Below are 20,729 nucleotides of genomic sequence, written 5' to 3' on the forward strand. Positions count from 1 at the left end.
ACGGGGTAGGGGAGGGGTCGGGGGGCTGATGGGGGGAACCCTGCACCCCCCAGGGCAGCTGCTACCAAGGGGCGAGTCCCAGGGCCCCCGTCGGCCCTGCGTGCGGGGCGCGGTCCCCAACACCCAGGGCCCCGGAGGCGGACACAGCCCCAGCCAGGTCGTCCGGGAAATGGGGCGGGGGCGACGGGCGGCCGGGCCCGGGACGCGAAGTCCGAGCAGCAGCGGGCAGGGGCTGGCGGGGGAGCTCGGCCCGGGCTGCAGGGGGGTCCCCACCCTCTCCACCTCCTCCAGCCTCCCGCCCTCGAGGGTCCCCGCTTCCCTCCCATCCCCCTCCCGTGCCCCCGGCCCCCTCCTCCCATCCGCGGGGCCGCAGCGCTTCCTGGCGGCGGGGCGGGTCAGGCCGGCGGGGCGGGGTATAAAGGGGGCGGCGCCGGCCGCGGTTCCCTCCCTGCTGCTTACTCGGCGCCCGCGCCTCGGGCCGTCGGGAGCGGAGCCTCCTCGGGACCAGGTGAGCGCCTCCCGGACCCCGCACCCTGGAAGCCGCTCGGCCCGCGGGGGGTGACCCCGAGTCCTGGGAAGGCGGCGGCGGCGGCTCCGTCCCTCGGGTCCCCGGGAAGGGGGACTCCAGCCCCAGGGACGGCGGGGGGCTCGGCGGGTTCGGGGCTCCTCCTCGCGGGGCTGGGGCCGCGCCTGCCCCTGTGGCTCCGCGTCTCTGGGTCCGACCCTCGGGCGCGCGACTTGGGGCCACCTCCCCGCGGCCTCCTCTGGGGCGGAGCCGGCCTGGGCGGGGTGGGGGGGTCCCTGTCTGCGCCCGAGCTCGGTGCTGGGACCCCCGCTCCCGAGACGACCCCGGCACCGCACGCCCCGCCAGGCCCCGCGTCTGCGAGCGGTTCGGGTCCGGCTCCGGCCCGCGGGGAAGACGCCCCGGCTGGCTGGGACCTCCGGGGGCGCAGGGCCTCTCCCCGGGCCGGACGGAAGGGGCGGCGGGGCGGGGGGAGGAGGGGCTTTCGGTGCCCGAGGGCGGGACTGGGCGGGGAGGGGACGCGGGTGGCCCCGACGCCCCATCGCTGCGCCCCTCCCGGCCTGGAGCCCACCAGGGCCCCGCCAGGCCCAGGAGAAGCTGCAGACGGAGGCGGCTCCCCAGGGCGGCGGGACCCGGGCTGACAGCGACCCGCAGCCCCTGCCGGGCCGCCCACACCCGCCCTGGGACTCCGCCGGGGCGCTGGTGGAACCGCTGGGCCTGGGTCTCCACTGCTGGCAACCGAACGGATCGGCCCTCTGTGGAGCCGCAGGTGTGCGGGCGAGCGGCGCCCATCCGGGCTGTGCCAGCAGAACCCCGGTGCCCGCGCCTAGGACGCCCCTGGAGAAGGGACCTTCCCTTTGGGGTCGGAACCCAGAAAGGAGGGGCCTGCGATCCGCGGAGCTCCTTGTTCTTGGGATAACACAGCTCTGGCTTGGAGGCCCCCTTGCACTTCGACTCTGGTGATTATTTCAAGAAAGGCCAGACCGGGCACGGTGGCTCACGCCTGTAATCCCAACACTTGGGGAGGCCGAGGCGGGCAGATCACCTGAGGTCAGGAGTTCGAGACCAGCCTGGCCAACAGGGTGAAACCCCGTCTCTACTAAAAATACAAAAAAAAATTAGCCGGGCGTGGTGGCAGGCACCTGTAATCCCAGCTAATCGGGAGGCTGAGGCAGGAGAAAATCACTTGAACCTGGGAGGCGGAGGCTGCAGTGAGCTGAGATCGCGCCACTGCACTCCAGCCTGGGTGAGGGAGCGAGACTGTCTCAAAAAAAAAAAAAAAAAAAAAAAAAAAGGAAAGAAAGGCCCGGTGAGATGCTTTCTCTTAAACACGGCCCTGCACGTTGAGTTGCTGCCTCCTGTGGCCTATTTCACGTTTATGCAAAGTCGGGCGCCTGATGCGGGGCTCACCCGCCACAAGCAGGGGTCCTGGTGCTGCTCATGGAAGGGGCCCTACCCAGCCCGCGGGGCACTGGCTGGGACGGGGCTGCCCAGGTCCGCCCAGGATCCAAACACCCAGCCCCGCCCAGCGGCCCTTCCTGGCCTGCAGTGGAGGCTGTAATGGGCAGGGGTGGTGGGAATCCCAGCTCACAGGGCGCCTGCTCTTAGAAGGGCGGCATCTGGGTCCAGAGGTCAGAAACGTCAGATGCCCATCCCAGAAGTGGCGGGGAACCTGTCTCCACAATGGATAGCAGCACTGTCTTTTTTTTTTTTTTTTTTTTTTTCTCATTTCATAGATAAGGAATGATGCCTTGTTGGGGGGTTTGTTCTGCATGTCTTTGGTTTTTGTGCAGTACAAGGCTATTTGGGCTGTTTGATCACTGACCGTGTGTAGTGATGTGCATTGCCTGGTTGTGATGTCCCCATGTTCCTAATGGATGTTCGCTTTTTGGGTTTTTTTGGTTTTTTGTTTGTTTGTTTGTTTTTTGAGACAGGGTCTTGCTCTGTCACCCAGGCTGGAGTGTGGTGGTGCTATCACTGCTCACTGCAATCTGCACATCCCTGGCTCAAGCGAGCCTCCACCTCAGCCTCCGAGTAGCGGGGACTACAGGCATGCACCACTGTGCCCAGCTAATTTTCTTTTAAGAGACGGGGTCTCACTATGTTGCCCAGGCCATGGATGTGTTTGTTTGTTTGTTTGTTTGGGGTGTTTGGGGGGTTTTTTCTTTTTTTATTGATTTGAAAAAGCTTTATTTTCCCGAATTTTTTATTGTGGTATACAATATAAAATGTACTGTCTTAACCATTTTTAAGTGTGCAGCTAGTTCAGCGACAGTAAGTACATTCATAGTGTTGTGTAGCCATCACCAAGGTCCATCTCCGGAACTCTTTTCCTCTTGTCAAACTGAAGCCCATGGAGCACCAACTCGCATCACCCCTTCCCTCCCCTGGCAGCCACCATCCTACTTTATGTTTCCAGGAATTTGGCCATTTAGGTGACTCATATGAGTGAAATCGTATGAAATGTCTCCTTTTGTGACTGGCTTATTTCACGTGGCTTAATGTCCTCCAGATTGATCCACACTGTAACGTATGTCAGCATTCCCTTCCTTTGTAAGGCTGAGCAGTATTCCACTGCATGCATGCCCTGCATTTTGTTTACCCATTCGTCTGTTGCTGGACACTTGTGTTGCTTCCACGTTTGAGCTACTGTGAATGATGTGGCCATGAACACACCACACAGATACCTCTTGGAGATCCCACTTTCACTTCTTTTGAGTATGTTCCCAGAAGTGGAAATGTGGATCATTTGATTTTTTCATTTTTTTGAGAATTAATTGCCTCACTGTTTCCCACGGTGGCTGCACCATTTTGCTTTCCTGCCAACAGTGCACAAGGGTCCAGTTTCTCCACATCTGCACCAACAGGTGTCATTTTCCGGGTTCGCTTGGTTTTTTTTAAATGTTAACCATCCTAATGGGTGTGAGGTGGTATCTCACTGTGGTTTTGACTTGCATTTCCCTCATGATTAGTGACGTTGAGCATCTTTTCATGTGCTTGTTGGCCATTTATATATCTCTTGGGAGAAATATCTGTTTAAGTCCTTGACCTATTTTTGAATCAAGTTGATTGTTTTTTGTTGTTGAATTTTAGGAGTTCTCTGTATATTCTGGATATTAATCCCTTATTAGATACACAGTTTACAGATATTTTCTCTCATTCTCTGGGTTCTTTTTACTCTGTTAATGATGTCCTTTCACTAGATAGATGCAAAAAATGTTTTTAAATTTTGGTGTAATCTGATTTATCTATTTTTTCTTATTGTCATACCCAAGAAATCATTGCTCAGTCCCATGTCACGAAGGTGTTACCTTATGTTTTCTTCTAAGGGTTTTAAAGTTTTAGGTCTTAAAACGTAAAGATCCATTTTGAGTTAATTTTTGTATATGGTATTAGGTAAGGGTCTAACTTCATTCTTTTGCATGTGGATATCTAGTTGTCTCTGCACCGTTTGTTGAAAAGACTGTCTTTATCGAATGGTCTTGACGGCTTGATTGAAAGTCATATATGCAAGGGTTTCTTTCTGGACTCTCTGTTTTATTCTGTTGGTCTGTATGTCTGTCTTTATGCCAGTGCCACACTGTTGATGACTGCAGCTTTGTAGTAAGTTTTGAAATTAGGACATGTGAGTCCCCCAGCTTTGTTCTTATCTTTCACGATTTTTTTTTTTTTTTTTTTTTTTTTTTTGGCTATTCGAGGTCCCTTGAGATTCCATCTAAATTTTAGGATTTATTCACTATTTCTGAAAAAAAAAACAATCACTGGGATTTTTATAGGGATTACATTAAACCTCTAGATCAATTTGGGTGGTATTGACATCTTAATATAGTAAGTCTTCCAATCTATGAACATGAATGTCTTTTTTTAAATGTCCTCTTCAATTTCTTTCAGAAATGTTTTGTAGTTCTCATTGTACAGGTCTTTCACCTCCTAAGTCAATTTTTAAGTATTTTATTATTTTTGATACTATAGTAAATAGAATTGTTTTCTTAATTTCCTTTGGATTGTTCATTGTTAGTGAATAGAAATACAAGTGATTTTTATGTGTTTACTATGTATTCTGCTATTTTGCTGAATTTGTTTATTAGTTGTAACAGTTTTTGTGGAATTTTTAGGGTTTTCTACATACAAGATCATATCATCAGTGATCAGAGATAATTTACTTATTTCTTTCCAATTTGAATGCCTTTAATTTCTTTTTCTTGCCCAATTGCTCTGGCCAGAACTTCCAGTACAGTGTTAAATAGAAGTAGTGAAAGCAGGCATCCTTCCTTTATTTCTGACCTTAGAGGAAAAGCTTTCAGTCTTTCACCACTGAGTATGATGTTCACTGTGGCTTTTTCGTATAATATGGCTTTTATTATGTTAAGGTTGTTTCCTTCTATTCCTAATTTGTTGAGTGTTTTTATCATGAAAGGGTATTGAATTTTGTCATATGGTTTCTCTGCATCAACTGCAATGATCATGTGTGAGTTTTTTTTCCTCCTTCATTCTGTTAATGTGTATTACATTGATTGATTTTTTTTTTTTTGTATGTTGAACTATCCTTGCACTCCAGAAATAAATCCTACTTGGTCAATTCATTAAATTCCATTTAATTGCATCAAATTATACCAAATTTAGTTTACTATTAATAGTATTTTGTTTAGGATTTTTGCATCAATGTTCATAAGGAAGACTGGATTGTAGTTTTCTTTTCTTGCAATATCTTTGTCTGGTATTGGTATCAGAGTAATGCTGGCCTCATAAGAATGAGTTAAATAGTGTTCCCTTCTCTTCAAGTTTTTTGAAAATTTTGGGAGGGTTTGGTGTTAGTTCTTTATGTGTTTGGTAGAATTCACCAGTGCAGCCATCAGGTCCAGAGGTTGTTTGTCAGGAGATTTTTGAGTATTGATTCAATCTCCTTACTAGTTATGTCTATTCAGATTTTCTATTTCTTCATGATTTGATTTTGTCTTGATAGGTTTTGTCTGTCTGGAAATTTTTCCATTCCATCTGTGTTATTCAAATTGTTGACATATAGTTGCTTATAGTACACTCTTATAATCTTTTTTATTTCTGTAGAATTAGTAGCAATGTTGCCACTTTCACTTATAATTTTAGTAATTTGAGTTTCTTCTTTTTTTCTTAGTCTAGAATCTAGCTTAAGGCTGGTCAATTCTGTTATCTTTTCAAAGAACCAACTTTTGTTGTCATTGATTTTCTCTATTATCTGTCTGTTCTCCATTTTGTTTATCTTTGCTCTGATCTTTATTTTTTCCTTCTTTCTGCTAGCTTGTTCTTTTTCTAGTTCCTTACATTGTAAGGTTAAGCTCCTATTTGAGACCTGTCTTTTTTAATATAAGCATGTATAGCCATCAGTTTCCCCCTTAGCACTGCTTTCACTGTCGAACAAGTTTTTAAATTTGTGTTTTCATTTTCACTCATCTCTAAGTATTTTATAATTTCCCTTGTGATTTCTTCTCTGATCCTTGGTTATTTAACAGGGTGTTGTTTAATTTCGTGATTTTTTAAATGTCCTTGTTGCTGATTTTTAACTTTACTCCTTTGTGGTCTGAAAAGATATCTTGTATGATGTAGATCTTTCAAAATCTATTGACACAGACTTTGTTGTTGCAACTAACCCCGTCATTGCAAGCCCTTCTCCGTCTGGTTGAAGTGACTTCCAGGAGATTTAAAGGGCTGGCACCCTTTTCTCCCTTCATTTTTCTCTTTTTCCTCTTTTGAGACGTAGACATTGAAGACTAGCACATTCAAAAGCAACCATATATGTGGAGAAAATAAAAAAGTCATTGCACATGCTCAGGGGAAGTCACGGGCTTAGAAAAGACCTAAGAAGACCTTAAGTTTATACTTTATGCTGATCCTTAGCACAGAGACAGCAACAATCAAAATTATAAAAACAAGAAAAACCAGCAAACTCTGGGGAAGAAAGAGATTTTGATTTCACAAGGCATACAAAGAAACTTTCCTATTTCAAAGGAAAAAAAAACAACAGAAACTGTCACTGAAAAAGACTTGGTGGTAGATCTACTAGACAAAGGCTTTGAAAGAACTATCTTAAAGATACTCAAATAACTAAGGGAAAATGTGGAGAAAGTGAAAGAAAATGTAGGAACAAATGAAAATATCAATAAAAAGCTAGAAATTTTAAAAAGAAACCAAAGGGAAATTCTGGAGCTGAAAAGTACAATAACTGAAATTTAAAATTCACTAGAGAAATGCAAAGGCAGATTTCAGCAGGCAGAATAAAGAATCAGGGAACTTGAAGATACAAAAATGGAAATTATTGAGTCTGAGGAGCAGAAATAAAAAGATTGAATAAAGGTGATCAGAGCCTAAGGGGTCTGTGGGATACCATCAAGCAAACCAACATAAACATTGTAGGAGCCCCAGAAGAAGAGAGAGCAAAGGGAGCAGAGAGACTATTTGAAGAAATAATGGCTGAAAACTTCTAAAATATGATGAATGACATGAATATAACCATCCAAGAAGCCCAAAAAGCTCCAAGCAGGATGAACTCAAAGAGACCCACACTGAAACATTCTAATCAAATTGTCAAAACCCAAAGACAAAGATTTTGAAAACAGCAAGAAAGAATGATTCATCACATGTAAGGAATCCTCAATAAAACTATTAGCAGATTTCTGATCAGAAACTTTGAAGGCCACAAGGCAGTGGGCCAATATATCCAAAGTGCTAAAAGAATAAAAACTGTCTACCAAGAAGCCCACATCCAGCAAAACTGTCCTTTAAAAGTAAGGGAGAAATTAACACATTCTTAGATCAACAAAAGCTGAGAATGTTCCTTACCACTAGACCTGCCCTATAGGAAACGCCAAAGGGAGTCCTGCGGGTTGAAATAAAGGGTGATAGACAGTAATTCAAGTGAAGAAGTAAAGATCTCAGCCAGGCATAGTGGCTCATGCTTGTAACCCCATCACTTTGGGAGGCCGAGGCAGGAGGATAACTTGAGCCCAGGAGTTCAAGACCAGCCTGAGCAATATAGGGAGACCCTATCTCTATAAAATAAAAATATTTTTAAAAATCGACCAAGCATGGTGGTGCACACCTGTGGTCCCAACTACTGGGGAGGCTGAGGTGGGAGAATCATTTGGGCCTGGGAGGTTGAAGCTGCAGTGAGCTGTCACCACACCACTGCACTCCAGCCTGGGCAACAGAGCAAGACCTTATCTCAAAATAAATAAATAAATAAATATCTCAGTAAAGGTAAATATATAGACAATTATAAAAGCTAATATTGCTGTAACAATGGTGTGTAATGCTGCTTTTTGTTTTCTACATAATTTAAGAGACTGATTTAAAAATAACATTATGCTTTTGGACACATAATATATAAAGGTGTAATTTTGTGACATCAATAACTAAAAGGGTTGGGGACAGAGCCATTCAGGGAGCAGAGTTTTGTTTATGCCATTGAAGCTAAACTGGTATAAATTCAGTGTAGACTGTTATAATTTTAGGATGTTAAAATGCAATCCCCATGGTAACAACAAAGAAAATAACTAAAGAATAAATACAAAAGGGAATGAGGAAGGGATTTAAATGTTTCACCATCAAAAAAATTAATTAAACACAAGACAGTGATACTGGAAATTAAGGACAAAAAAATCCATAAGGTATACAGAAAAAAAATGCAAAATGAAAGAAGTCCCTCTTTATCAGTAATTACTTTAGATGTAAATGGATTAAACTCTCCAAACTCTCTCTGTTAAAAGACAGAGATTGGCAGAATGGATTTAGAAAGCCAAATCCAACTATATGCTCTCTACAAGAGATGCACTTTAGATCCAGAAACATAAATAGATTGACAGTGAAAGGATGGGCAATGACATGCCACACAAATAGTAACCAAAAGAGAGCAAGAGTGGCTATACTAATACCAGACAAGATAGGCTTTAAATCAAAAAAGGTTACAAGAGGGAAAGAAGGACATCATATATTAATAAAAGGCTCAATACAGCAAGATATAATAATTATAAATATTTATGCACCTAATAACAGTCCATCAAAATATTTATATCTTACACTGGGAAGATTGTTGCTGGCTCTCAGTCTGCTTCCAGTCTGCTCATATTGCTTTTGTTGTAATGATGGTCATATGTGGGAGCTCAGTGTCAAGAGGGCAGACTTGAGCCCACACTGCCAGGCTTCAGACCTCAGCTATTAGCTGAGTGCCCTGGGCAAGTTACCTCACTGGGCCTTGGTTTCCTCATCTGTTGGAGTGGGGATGGTAATAGTACCTATGTCCAAGGCCATAAGTCCAATTGTGAATGTTGAATGAAGGGATATAGGACAGTATCTGGTACACAATTATTATAGATTTTTCATTGACATTTTATACATTCTGTTTTCTTCAAAGACTTTTTGGTTCCTGTTTTGCACTCAGATACTTCCTTTTCCTGGAGTTTATTTGGGAGCACCATGTGAGGTAGTACCTTTATTTCTAGTCACAGGGTGAGCCCTCATCCCAGCCTGCTTCCACCACTCTGAAAGGCCACCATGTCATAGCCTAAGTTCTCGTGTGTTGTTATGCCCATGGTTGTGTGGAGTGTTGGCCTGTTCCAGCACCAAAACCAAAACTGTAATTTTATCGTTTCATTTGATAGCACAAGCTTTCTCATCACTCTATTTTTTATTTTGCTCAACTCTTCTTGCTTTTTCTACCAAGTAAAACTTGGATTCATTTTGCAAACTCCTATCTACAAAAATGCAAAAAATTTTCTTGGAAACTTTAATTAAAATTGCATTCTATTATAGATTCAGTTAGGAATAACTGATATTTTTAAATCAGTTTAAGATAGTGGGATGATTTCTTATCCAAAAACAAGGTTTGTCTTTCCAATATATTTCTCAAAAATTTTTTTGAGTTTTTTTCATAAGTCCTGCACATTTTTATTCAGTTGATTCCTTGGGTTTATGTTGTTTTTCTTACTAGTGTAAATAGCATTTTTCTGCAACATTTTCTAACTGGTTGTTAGAAAATGTTTCTTCTAACTGATAGAAGAAAATCAATAACTTTTTGTATGTTGAGGACTAAGCTCTGATTTTTTTATCTTGCCTATATTCTTATCTAAGGGGTCTGGGGAGTCATGCCCTACAAACCATAAATTCTCATCAGATGGTTTTATCTAACCCTATATGCTGTGACTTACTTTCCATCTGACTCTGGCATGACACTACACGACCAAGAAGAAAATAAAAATATTTTACCCCAAAACATGTTTCTTTGCCACATTTTGAAATGGCCCTGCAAAGCTGTCCTTTACTGGGGAAAATTTGCATCTGTAAGGAATCTCTGTTAACATAGCTAGCTCTTTTTCTTCCAGGCCCTCCCAATTCTGAAGAGATTAACCGAGAGTCTAGCAGCTTTTAAAGGTCTCAGTAGGAAACACTTGTCATTGATTGTCTCTAAGGGCAGCCACTATGAGACTTCAGAAGAACCTTGGTCTCCACAGTCTTTTATCTTAACCTGAGCATTTCCTTTCTATGATCCCAGGTCTTTAGACAAACTCAACCAATTGTCAACCAGAAAATGTTTAAATTTACCTGTAGCCTGGAAGCCATCTCTCCCCGCTTTGAATTTTCCTGCCTTTCTGGATTAAACCAATGTATTTCTTAAATGTATTTGATTGATGTCTCATGCCTCCCTAAAATGAATAAAACCGAGCTGCACCCCAGCCACCTTGGGTACATGTTCTCAGGACCTCCTAAGGGCTGTGTCATGGGTCATGGCCACTCATATTTGGCTCAGAATAAATCTCTTAAAATATTTTACAGAGTTTGACTCTTTTCATCAATGATATATTTTTCTAAGTGGCTCACTAAATTTTCTCTCCCTAATCTCCCCTCCTTTCTCTTTCTTTCTCTCTTTCTCTCTGTCTATATATATATATATTTTTTTTTCTCTTTTTTAAAAAAACTTTGTTCAGATGATTTTCTGGGTAGACAATCCTATCTTTAATAAGGACAGTTTTGTCTCTTCTTTTCCAACAGTTATACTTTTATTTTTACTGTCTTATTGCATTGGCTTCCAACACAACACTGAATGGTAGCGTAAGATCTGCACTGTTTGCCCCCACCCCATTTTTTTTGTACTGTAGTAAGCATTCTTCTAATGCAGGATTTTTTAACCCAGGGTTAGATCTACGAATGGAATCCCTGAATTCCTGGACATGATTTCTGTATATGAGCATCTATGCATTTGTGTAAGGTGAAATTGTGTAGACTCTTAAAAGGGTCCATGACCACAAAGATAAGAACCACTATTTTAGCTTTTTGTGTAAAATATGATGTGAGCTCTTGATTTGAAATGTATATCCTTTATAGAGTTAATTCTACTCCTAAATTTCTTACTAGGTTTTACCTTGTCTGGCTGTTGTTGTTTCTTAGTTAGAAATTGATGTTTCAGGGATCTATTGAAGCAATTGCATATTTTTTCCCATTTTATGTTAATGTGACTTACATTAATGTATTCCCTAGTGTTTGTGGCAACACTGTACTTTAACTTCATATTATAGTTCTGGTATAGTGGTCCTTAATATGCTATTGGATTTTAGTTTTTAATATTGGCTAGAATTTTTGTGATAATGTTATGGGATTTTTAGGGTGTCACTTTTCTGGCCTGAAACCTCTATGGCCAGTGGCGCCTTTGCCCAAGTTCTTGTCCTGTGTCCAGGAAGAATGAGGTACACAGACAAGTGGAGGGTGTGCAAGACAGAGAAGCTTTATTGAGTGTTAGGGGAGCTCACAGGAGACCCGCAGGGGGCAGCCCCTCTCTGTAGGCGGGTTGTCTTGTCGGCGGGTTGTCTTGTCAAATGTTCAGCTCTCAGCAGAGAGAAGGCCCTGGAGTGGGTGGCTCCTCTCTGCAGGCAGGTCATCCCATTGTCTCTGCAGCTCTTAGCAGAGAGGAGGCCCTCGAGAGCGTGTCTCCTCTCTGCAAACAGGGCATCTCAACTAGTGTTCAGCTCTCAGCAGAGAGAAAGCCCTGGAGAGGGTAGCTCCTCTCTGCAGCTGGTCGTCCTGACATCCCTTCAGGTCCTGAAGCTCTCAGCAGAGAGAGCACCTCCTCTCTGCAGCTGGTCGTGCCATGCTCTGCCCTGCTCTGACTGAGCCTGGGGCTTTTAAAGGCCTCAGAGAGGGGAAGTGCATGCTGATTGGTCCATGTGCAGCCATGTGCAGGCCCAGAAGAAAGCACCTTGAGTTCCCCTCTGGTCCGTAGGACGGGCAACCCGGCCCCCAGGCTTCAGGCCTGCCCCAGCCTGAAGGTGGGGCTTCACTGGGGACCCATCCTCTTCTGCCCAGGAGCCTATCTGCCTCCTGCAGCCATCCATGGTGCCCAGGCTGCTGGTACCAAGGGGCACCGGTGCCCAGCCACCCTCAGCACCCCCCCAAGCCTCCCCTCCTGCACTTCTCAGTGCCCACAGTTTGGAGGGGGCCAAGTCAGCAGGGGGCTGGCATGTCAGCACTGCCACAAGCATGCACCCACCCGGCCAGGCTGTGACAGTGCCCAGGCTCAGCCCCAACTCTGCTCTGAGATTGGAGTGGGTGGTGGGAGCGGGAAGAAGCTGGGCAGCGGGAACAGGCACCTCCAGGCCTACAAGGGAAAGAGGGGCCTTCCCTGGCTCCCCAAGAGTGCAGCGATGCCTGGGTCAGCAGCCCCAGTTGGGGCAGCTGAAACTGCACCAGGAGTGGGGGCTGGCTCCTGCCTCCTCCATGGAGCAGAAGGCCCAGATCCACAGCCACGACTTGGGCAGTTGTACCTGGGGAACTCTCACCTCGCCAAACTGCAAGGGGCAGGGATCCCACTTATCCCCGGCTCCTGCTGGCTCCGTGGAGCATGGTACCTGGCCATGTCCTCTCGCAGCCTGGGGCAGGGTCTCCAGACCTGGGCCAGCATCCCAGACAGGGGCAACACCGCCGTGAGCTCCCCTTCACCCAGCACACCACCCGGCCCGGCCCCATGGCAGCGGCCCCCAGGGAGGCAGTCTGCGGGGTTGGGGGCCTGTCTGCCTCTTCCATGGGCCCTCCCTGAGCAGCCAGTGTGATGGCAGCGGCCACACCAGATGGGCTGCCGCTGCCATCAGTAATATTTATAGTGATATTTATCTGTAGAGTTACTTTTAGGGACTTTTTTTTTTATCAAGCTTTGGTCACAGGTTATGCAACATTTAAAAATGAATTGGGAAAAAGTTTATCTTTTTATGTTCTAAAACAAGTTAAATAGCATGAAGTGCTTGTCCTTGAAGCTGTGAAACTCACCCACAAACTGCCTGAGCTGGCACCTTTGGGAACGGACTTCATTCCTCCCTGGGCCCCAGGCTGAGCAGGTCTGGCCTGGGTCACCTCATCCACTCCAGACGCCGCAAAATCACAGCAACCCTTCAGGGCCCTCTCCTGGCAGCGCCTCCCCTAGTCCCGGTGCTTGGACACTCCTCCCATCTGCACCGAGGAGAGGGCGGCACTCCAATCCCTGCATTACCCCTGGAACTGCACGCTCTGAACCAGGCCCGGTGCCCTTTCTGCCCAGCTGCCCGGCTGCTGCCAGCCCCACTCTGCGGAGCCAGCAGCACAGTGAGGCCCGTCCTGATGGCCTCCTGGAGCTGGAGCTTAGGCCAAGCCACAGGGCATCAGGGAGGATGGACGTTCAAGGGCTGGATCTGTTTGCCCCAGGGTCCTGGCACCCAACAGAAAGGAAAGCCAGGCTAATGACGGCTGTGTCCCTACACTTGACAGAGTCCTCCCTCCCTCCTTATCAAAGTCCTGTTTAAAGGGAATGGAGCCAGGCTGGAGAGAGAGTGCCTAGCTCTGCAGGGGAGCCGGTCTGGGGAAGCTGGGATCTCTCTCCCGCCCTCCCCTCTGCACTGTTTCCAGGGCAGCCCCAGGCAGTGGGGGGCGCCAGACAGTGGTGCTCCATTCCCTTCCATGCCGACGCGCCCAGCTACCCACTCCACCCAGCCCTGGAGGACATGGAAGGGCCTCAACCATCCAAATCCCACCCAAAACTGAGCCCAGAGGCACCCACTAAACATCTGTGACCCCACCCAGGGTGGGGCAAGAGGGCGCAAGCCCCCCAGTCCAGATGCTGGTGACGGTGTGTGCTGGGCGCAGACCCCGCTTCCTTGAAGACTGAGGGCAGTGCCCCCAATCCCGCTGACCTGCTGTGCGTGCGCCTGCCATGGGGGAGGGTGCCAGGGGAGAGGCACTGGGGGTGTCTGAGCGACCCCCACCCCTGTTGCAGGACTTCAGGGCCACAGGTGCTGCCAAGATGCTCCAGGGCACCTGCTCCGTGCTCCTGCTCTGGGGAATCCTGGGGGCCATCCAGGCCCAGCAGCAGGAGGTCATCTCGCCGGACACTACCGAGAGAAACAACAACTGCCCAGGTGCCAGGGGTCGGGGGCCGGGGGCTCTGGGCATTTGGGGGGCAGTTGGGACCAGTACCCAGGTGCCAGGGGTCGGGGGCCGGGGGCTCTGGGCATTTGGGGGGCAGTTGGGACCAGTACCCAGGTGCCAGGGGTCGGGGGCCGGGGGCTCTGGGCATTTGGGGGGCAGTTGGGACCAGTACCCAGGTGCCAGGGGTCGGGGGCCGGGGGCTCTGGGCATTTGGGGGGCAGTTGGGACCAGTACCCAGGTGCCAGGGGTTGGGGGCCGGGGGCTCTGGCATTCGGGGGCAGTGAGGTCAAACCCACAAACAGGCACGGGGCCAGGAAACGGGGCTCCAACAGCAGTCCCTCCTGAGGCTGGCTCGTGACAGGTCCTGTGCCCCACAGAGAAGACCGACTGCCCCATCCACGTGTACTTCGTGCTGGACACCTCGGAGAGCGTCACCATGCAGTCCCCCACGGACATCCTGCTCTTCCACATGAAGCAGTTCGTGCCGCAGTTCATCAGCCAGCTGCAGAACGAGTTCTACCTGGACCAGGTGGCGCTGAGCTGGCGCTACGGCGGCCTGCACTTCTCTGACCAGGTGGAGGTGTTCAGCCCACCGGGCAGCGACCGGGCCTCCTTCATCAAGAACCTGCAGGGCATCAGCTCCTTCCGCCGCGGCACCTTCACCGACTGCGCGCTGGCCAACATGACGGAGCAGATCCGGCAGGACCGCAGCAAGGGCACCGTCCACTTCGCCGTGGTCATCACCGACGGCCACGTCACCGGCAGCCCCTGCGGGGGCATCAAGCTGCAGGCCGAGCGGGCCCGCGAGGAGGGCATCCGGCTCTTCGCCGTGGCCCCCAACCAGAACCTGAAGGAGCAGGGCCTGCGGGACATCGCCAGCACGCCGCACGAGCTCTACCGCAACGACTACGCCACCATGCTGCCCGACTCCACCGAGATCGACCAGGACACCATCAACCGCATCATCAAGGTCATGGTGAGCCGCGGGCGGGAGCACCGTCCACGCGCCAGGGGTGGCCACGGTGGGCCGTCCACCCACTCCGGGCCTCACTTTACCCCTCTGTGAGTGCGGAGGCCGAAGGAGGAAGCTCCGGGCAGGGCCTGGGCCACTCAGGTGTCCCTCCATCCCCACCCAGACTCGAGGTGCAGCCGCCCCAGGTCTCGAGGCACACGGCTAACCAGCATGTCTGTCTTTTCTGCAGAAACACGAAGCCTACGGAGAGGTGAGTGGCGCTTCCCTTCCTGCCAGTGCTGGCCGGCAGCTGACCCAGCAGAGATGACCGCGCCAGGCTGCCGACTCCTGGCGCCTCCAGGCTGGAACAGATGAGAGGAGAGGGAGTCACCTGCTCCATGTTGGACCTGAGGCCTTGGAGTCTGGAGAAAGGGCTCCCAGCCAAAGCTAGGCTGTTTAGATCCCGTGAGGGTCAGCGTTAGGGTCACCCACAGAGCACGTGTTACAAGGAGAGGTCGAGGGTCTGGCCTCCGGGCAGGTGGGATCCATCCACCCTGGACTCGAGGCCCGAGCCCAGCCCAGCAGGTCAGGGGAGAAGGAACTGACATCATCGGGGTCCATGACATCCCCACCTCCCTGTGTGTCCCAGCTCCAGCTCTCAGGAAGGGGAGCAGGCATCTGAGATCTCCCCCGTGAGGCTTCCTGCAAAAACGTGCCCTGCCTCAGAATCGCTGCTCAGTAACAGTGGTTTCATTGCCGTGTACAAATGGTGCCTCCCTCACCAGTGCCCCTTGCTCTTCCATCCTTTTGTAAAATTTATTCTTTTATATTTGTTTTTTTAGAGACAGGGTCTTTCTCTGTCACCTAGGCTGGAGTGCAGTGGTACGATCACGGCTCACTGCAGCCTTGAACTCTGAGGCTCAAGCCATCCTCCCACCTCAGCCTCCCAAGTAGCTGGGACTACAGGCACCTGCCACCATACCTGGTGTGCGCATGTAGTTCCAGCTACTTGGGAGGCTGAGGTGGGAGGATCGCTTTCGTATTGTTTTTTTGTAGAGATGGGATCTCACTATGTTGCCCAGCCTGGTCTCTAACTCCTGGCCTCAAGCAGTCCTCCCTGCCTCGGCCTACCAAAATGTTGGGATTCCAGGCGTGAGCTGCACCCGGCCTTTCTTCCCTTCTATTTTCTGTCATGGCTTAAGCCAGGCTTGGTTTTTTAAACTTGCCTAGAACACCTGACCGAGAGCCAAACTCTTTGGCTTGTCCCTGATGGGGGCAGAGCCTCACAGCACCCCATGTCTCACAGCTCCCTCACGCCCGCCCAGGTTCTCAGGGCATTTCAGCATCTCCTTGGCCCCTGCTGAGAGTCGTGGGCTACACGTTCTGAGACCCTGCCCTGCCACCTGAGGAATGTCCCACCCATGCAACCTTCTGTCTCTGCTTCCTCGTTTCAGTGCTACAAGGTGAGCTGCCTGGAAATCCCTGGGCCCTCTGGCCCCAAGGGCTACCGTGGACAGAAGGTAAGATGCCCAGATTACCTGCAGGGTCTGCGCTACCAGGAAGCCCCTGATTTGTTTTGAAATCCACACTTGGCCGGGCGTGGTGGCTCATACCTGTAATCCCAGCACTTTGGGAGGCCGAGGCGGGCGGATCACAACGTCAGGAGATCGAGACCATCCTGGCTAACATGGTGAAACCCTGTCTCTACTAAAAATACAAAAATTAGCCGGGCGTAGTGGCATGCGCCTGTAGTCCCAGCTACTCGGGAGGCTGAGGCAGGAGAATCGCTTGAACCTGGGAAGCGGAGGTTGCAGTGAGCAGAGATCACGCCACTGCACTCCAGCCTGGGCAACAGAGTAAGACTCTGTCTCAAAAAAAAAAAAAAAAGAAAAGAAAGCCACATTTAAGGCCAGCTGTATCTCAAATTGTCTCAACACTTCTGTCCCTGGAGAAACTAAAACTCTATATGTCTAATTCCTTTTAAATAGTATATTGAGAAAAGCAGAAGCTTGTAAAAAATGAGATATGCCATTAAAATACTTTGGTAAGCAAGCATATTCAAGTAAGTAAAATGTGAGATGCACTACACTTAATAATATGATTGCTCATTAATATGAAGGAACCTCTTTTGTGGCTTACTAAATAAGCAGTTTTAGGGAGCCTGGTTTGAATGTCCCCTGCATTTTCTGGTTTGAACATCCCCTGCATTTTCCTAACAGAGGTGCATCAAATAAAGTCCTTCCAAAACTCACTAACAGAGTATGTGAAACTCCAACAATTCACATCTGTTAAAAATTATAAAGAAAAGCATAGGAGGAGAAAGTAGCTTCTAAGGAGATGAAATAAGGAATTGACCATCATAGAGGATGTTACTGCTACGTAGCTTCGTGTTTTTCTAAATTTGGATAACAGCTGTCTAGACCAGTAGGTATCTGGATGTACTTTCTCCAGGATGAGACATCTCGAGGCTGCAGGTCAAATCCTGCCATCTCCCTCCCTGGCTTCTCCAGTCCTGGTGGCAATGCCGACCCTACTACAGCTGGGAATGAATTTGCCACTTGGGGCAGCCTTGGCTGCACACAGCAGTGCAGTGACCCGTTCTGTTGGGGGGGCCACTGGAAGCTGCCACAGGGATCACTGTGGTTAGAGTTTGAGGGGTGGCAAGGTGCCAAGCGGAGCCCAGGACAGGGCACAGCTGTGATGTTCCAGAAGCCTCTGCCCACCTCATCCCCTGCCCTGAGTTTCCTCCCTTTTCTTCCTTTTGACCTCTTAATTCTTCCCCTTTCCTCTGCTCCTCTTTGCACTTAAATTGGGAGCATATCAATAAATAGATGAATTTATTTAATAAAGTTCTGTATCATAGGTTAAAATTTTAATTCCAAGAGAGTGTAACCTTTATGTGGTGTTCTGAAGTCCTGATCTGTCTAAAGTTACTTAGATAAAGGAATTAATCTTTGTAGTGACGGTGACCCAGGCATCGCTGGAGAATCAGAGCCCAGTGTTGGCCACAGTCACAGCTACTGGGTGCAGAAGGGACCCCCACGGGCCAGGCACCCCCACCCCAGGGGTCTCTTCTGGCTCCATTTTGCAGGTGGCTTTGTGGGAAGCTTCCCTCAGAGCTGGGAGAAATGGGTCAAAGCAAACCCTTGTCTGACAGAGGCTGGCCCTTTGGGGAGCAGCTGACACCAAGACTTCTCCACTTGGGCAGGGGAATCAGTAACCTCTGCTGTGTCACCTCTCAGAGGAGCTGTGGCAGGGTCCCCAGCTGCCTACCGCCCACCCTACCCTGCCTCGATGTACTCTTTTCTCTGCTTTTAGGGTGCCAAGGGCAACATGGGTGAGCCGGGAGAGCCTGGCCAGAAGGGAAGACAGGTGAGTGTCCTTGCCCCACGCCCGCCCCGCCTGCAGCCCAGCGCCCCAGGGCTGGGCTCACACTGCTGCGTTGTCCTTCACAGGGAGACCCGGGCATCGAAGGCCCCATTGGATTCCCAGGACCCAAGGTGAGTGACCTCGGCCAGGGGCTTGGCTCCACCCTGAGGCCCCAGCACTGCCAGGCAGGCTCCCCCCAGCCCAGCCTCGGCCTCAGCCTCTACGACCCTCCCCCCAGTTACCAAGGAACAGAAGCACCTCGATAACTTGATGGCCGTCCCAAAACCCAGCCTCCAGCCCGACCCAGGGCTCAGCCTCCTCCGCAGACTGTTTGTCGAGAACACTAGATGCCAGCGGCCCACCGAGCACTCCCCTCAGCCTGCAGGGCTGGCCCTTCCCTGCCTGTGTCTCTGCAGAGCTCCTCACTAATGCCCCTCTCTCCTCCTGCCCCCAGGGCGTTCCTGGCTTCAAAGGAGAGAAGGTGAGGCTCTTGCCCTGACAGACCTCAGACCTGCGCCAGCCTCGGCCCAGACCCACCTCTTGGCGTCCGCCGCAGCCTGTCACTGCTCCTGGGGCACCGGCCTGGTCTTTTCTCAGTGGTGGCTTTGGGGGCTCCTGGGGGGTCCTGTGGCCTTGAGTTTGGCCCAAGGGCTTTGCCCCCCAGAGGCAGCAGTGCCCATGATGCTTTGAGGCACCGAGCTCACTGCGCCGGCTTTCCTCCTACACAGGGTGAATTTGGAGCCGACGGTCGCAAGGTAGGCTGGCTGGGTAGGCAGAGCCCCTCCTTCCTGCTGCTCAGGGCAGAAGGACCGGGGCTAATGGAGTTCCCTCTTCCTTCTCTCTTCAGGGGGCCCCTGGCCTGGCTGGCAAGAACGGGACCGATGGACAGAAGGTAGAGGGAGCCTCGGGCTCACAGCTGGACTGGTCTCACAGAGGCATCCCAGCCTCTGCAGGGCCCCCAGATCCAGCCTGATCTGTCAGCTTACACATGTGTACACACGCATACACACACACACACACACACACACACACACGAACTTCAGCTCCTGCCACATCCCACTGCCCCACCCAGGGCTTCACCAGCCTGCATCTAATTCATGGCTGCACATCCCGGCTTGGGGCAGCTCCACAGCTGCACACAGAGGCCAGCAACAAGCCTACCCACTCCCAGGTCAAACCACAGGACAGCCCCACCCACTCCTTCCATGGCTCCCCGTGGGAACATCCTCTGTGCCCAGGGAGCTCTGCCCTCAGGGCCTCTGGGAGGCAGCCAGGGATGGCCTGTTCCTGCACAACGGCCACTCTGCCTCCCCGGAGACAGCTCCACAGCAGCCGTGGCCTCATGTGGGCACCCGTGTGCCAGGAGGAGAGCGCTGCAGCCCTGCGGGGCAGAACCGGGTGGGCTGTGTCTTGGTCGTTGGCACACATGGACCCCAGAACCCCGCCCTGAGACTCCTCCTGCCCCCTTCTCCTTCAGGGCAAGCTGGGGCGCATCGGACCTCCTGGCTGCAAGGGAGACCCTGGAAACCGGGTAAGGGCCGTTTGCACCCCTCCTTCAGCCTCGGCCCAGGGGGTGTGGGTGCCTGACCGGGTGGGAGGGTAGTTGCTGCTGCAGTGGGAGCGTGGGTTCTCCCGGCAGCCCAGCAGCCCCAGCCCAGCAGCCCCAGCCCAGCATTCTGCCGGGTCGGAGTCATGTGAGGAACTCCCCCTGGGAGCTCCTGGCGGATCCCCGTGGCCTGGAGACCTGATGCATCCCAAACTTCGGTGTCACTGGACAGCTCCATTTCCCTGAGCAGCAGATCCAGGCCTGGCCTCTTGGTCACTGAGCCTGGGCCTCACAGTGAGGGTGGGAGGTGCGTCCCGGGCTGGGACAATGGAGCACTTGGGCCCTGGCTCATGGGGAGAACCCCACCCGCCGTGTGCCGAGCTCCACCTCTCACTCCTCTCTCAGGGCCCCGACGGTTACCCGGGGGAAGCAGGGAGTCCAGGGGAGCGAGGAGACCAAGGCGGCAAGGTAAGTGGCCTTGTCAGGGTACGGGGCAGGCGGGGTCACCAGCTTCCAGGGGCCTCCTGGAGGCAGCCCCAGCTGAGAAGCTGAGCAGAGAGGGCCTTTCTGGAAACACTGGTCAGTGAGGAGCCAATGGCCGTGGGATGTGGTGGAGGGTGCCCTGCCCGTTGCTTCATCAGCTTCTAACCAGGGCTTGGGCGGCCCCGCCGCTGCTCACCGAGGCCTCGGCAACAAACCCACCTCCTCCCAGGTGGAGCCCCAGGGAGCCCCACCCACACCTCCTGGAGCTCCCCATGGGAACGTTGGTGCCCCAGGGGCTCTGCCCTCCTGGGCCGCCTGCAGTGTCGCCCCGCCCCTGGCGGCCCCAGGATCCCCAAGGGCTTTTTTCTGGGAGCTTGGACTTAGGGCTTCCCACTTTCTGTCCACCTTCCCTCAGCCCAAGCCCAAGTCTGGCTGAGTCCTCT

The 20,729-nt window shown here is 50.8% G+C and overlaps 1 protein-coding gene and 1 long non-coding RNA gene across 4 annotated transcripts in view, besides 2 other annotated features; one reads left to right on the top strand and one right to left on the bottom strand.

Annotated features, from left to right (window-relative positions):
- Nucleotides 270-564: an enhancer, noted in NCBI's record as "tiled region #12001; K562 Activating DNase matched - State 4:PromP". NCBI's record gives its function as "activates a minimal TATA promoter and a strong SV40 promoter by Sharpr-MPRA in K562 cells {active_cell/tissue: K562}" and the evidence as "EXISTENCE:reporter gene assay evidence [ECO:0000049][PMID:27701403]".
- COL6A2 (collagen type VI alpha 2 chain) overlaps nucleotides 447-20,729 on the top strand; it is a 34,737-nt gene continuing 14,454 nt past the window's right edge. For all 3 annotated transcript variants that reach the window (NM_001849.4, NM_058175.3, NM_058174.3), the window contains exons 1-12: nucleotides 447-508; nucleotides 13,785-13,926; nucleotides 14,314-14,912; nucleotides 15,139-15,159; nucleotides 16,343-16,408; nucleotides 18,207-18,260; nucleotides 18,344-18,388; nucleotides 18,712-18,738; nucleotides 18,986-19,012; nucleotides 19,105-19,149; nucleotides 19,735-19,788; nucleotides 20,209-20,271. In NM_001849.4, coding sequence (NP_001840.3) covers nucleotides 13,812-13,926; nucleotides 14,314-14,912; nucleotides 15,139-15,159; nucleotides 16,343-16,408; nucleotides 18,207-18,260; nucleotides 18,344-18,388; nucleotides 18,712-18,738; nucleotides 18,986-19,012; nucleotides 19,105-19,149; nucleotides 19,735-19,788; nucleotides 20,209-20,271 — 1,116 coding nt within the window. In that variant the 5' untranslated portion in view covers nucleotides 447-508; nucleotides 13,785-13,811. The remainder of the gene's footprint in view (nucleotides 509-13,784; nucleotides 13,927-14,313; nucleotides 14,913-15,138; nucleotides 15,160-16,342; nucleotides 16,409-18,206; nucleotides 18,261-18,343; nucleotides 18,389-18,711; nucleotides 18,739-18,985; nucleotides 19,013-19,104; nucleotides 19,150-19,734; nucleotides 19,789-20,208; nucleotides 20,272-20,729) is intronic.
- Nucleotides 9,546-10,305: an enhancer, noted in NCBI's record as "OCT4-NANOG hESC enhancer chr21:47527125-47527884 (GRCh37/hg19 assembly coordinates)". NCBI's record gives its function as "activates a minimal SCP1, AML or CMV promoter by ChIP-STARR-seq in naive H9 embryonic stem cells {active_cell/tissue: H9 hESC(naive)}" and the evidence as "EXISTENCE:reporter gene assay evidence [ECO:0000049][PMID:30033119]".
- LOC124905043 (uncharacterized) lies at nucleotides 11,250-14,366 on the bottom strand. Its single transcript, XR_007067910.1, has 2 exons — nucleotides 12,806-14,366; nucleotides 11,250-12,431 (listed from the first exon to the last, which is right to left on the bottom strand). It is a non-coding gene; the product is annotated as an uncharacterized LOC124905043 (long non-coding RNA).

The sequence above is a fragment of the Homo sapiens genome, chromosome 21 (assembly GCF_000001405.40).
Source record: "Homo sapiens chromosome 21, GRCh38.p14 Primary Assembly".
Taxonomy (NCBI): Eukaryota; Metazoa; Chordata; class Mammalia; order Primates; family Hominidae; genus Homo; species Homo sapiens.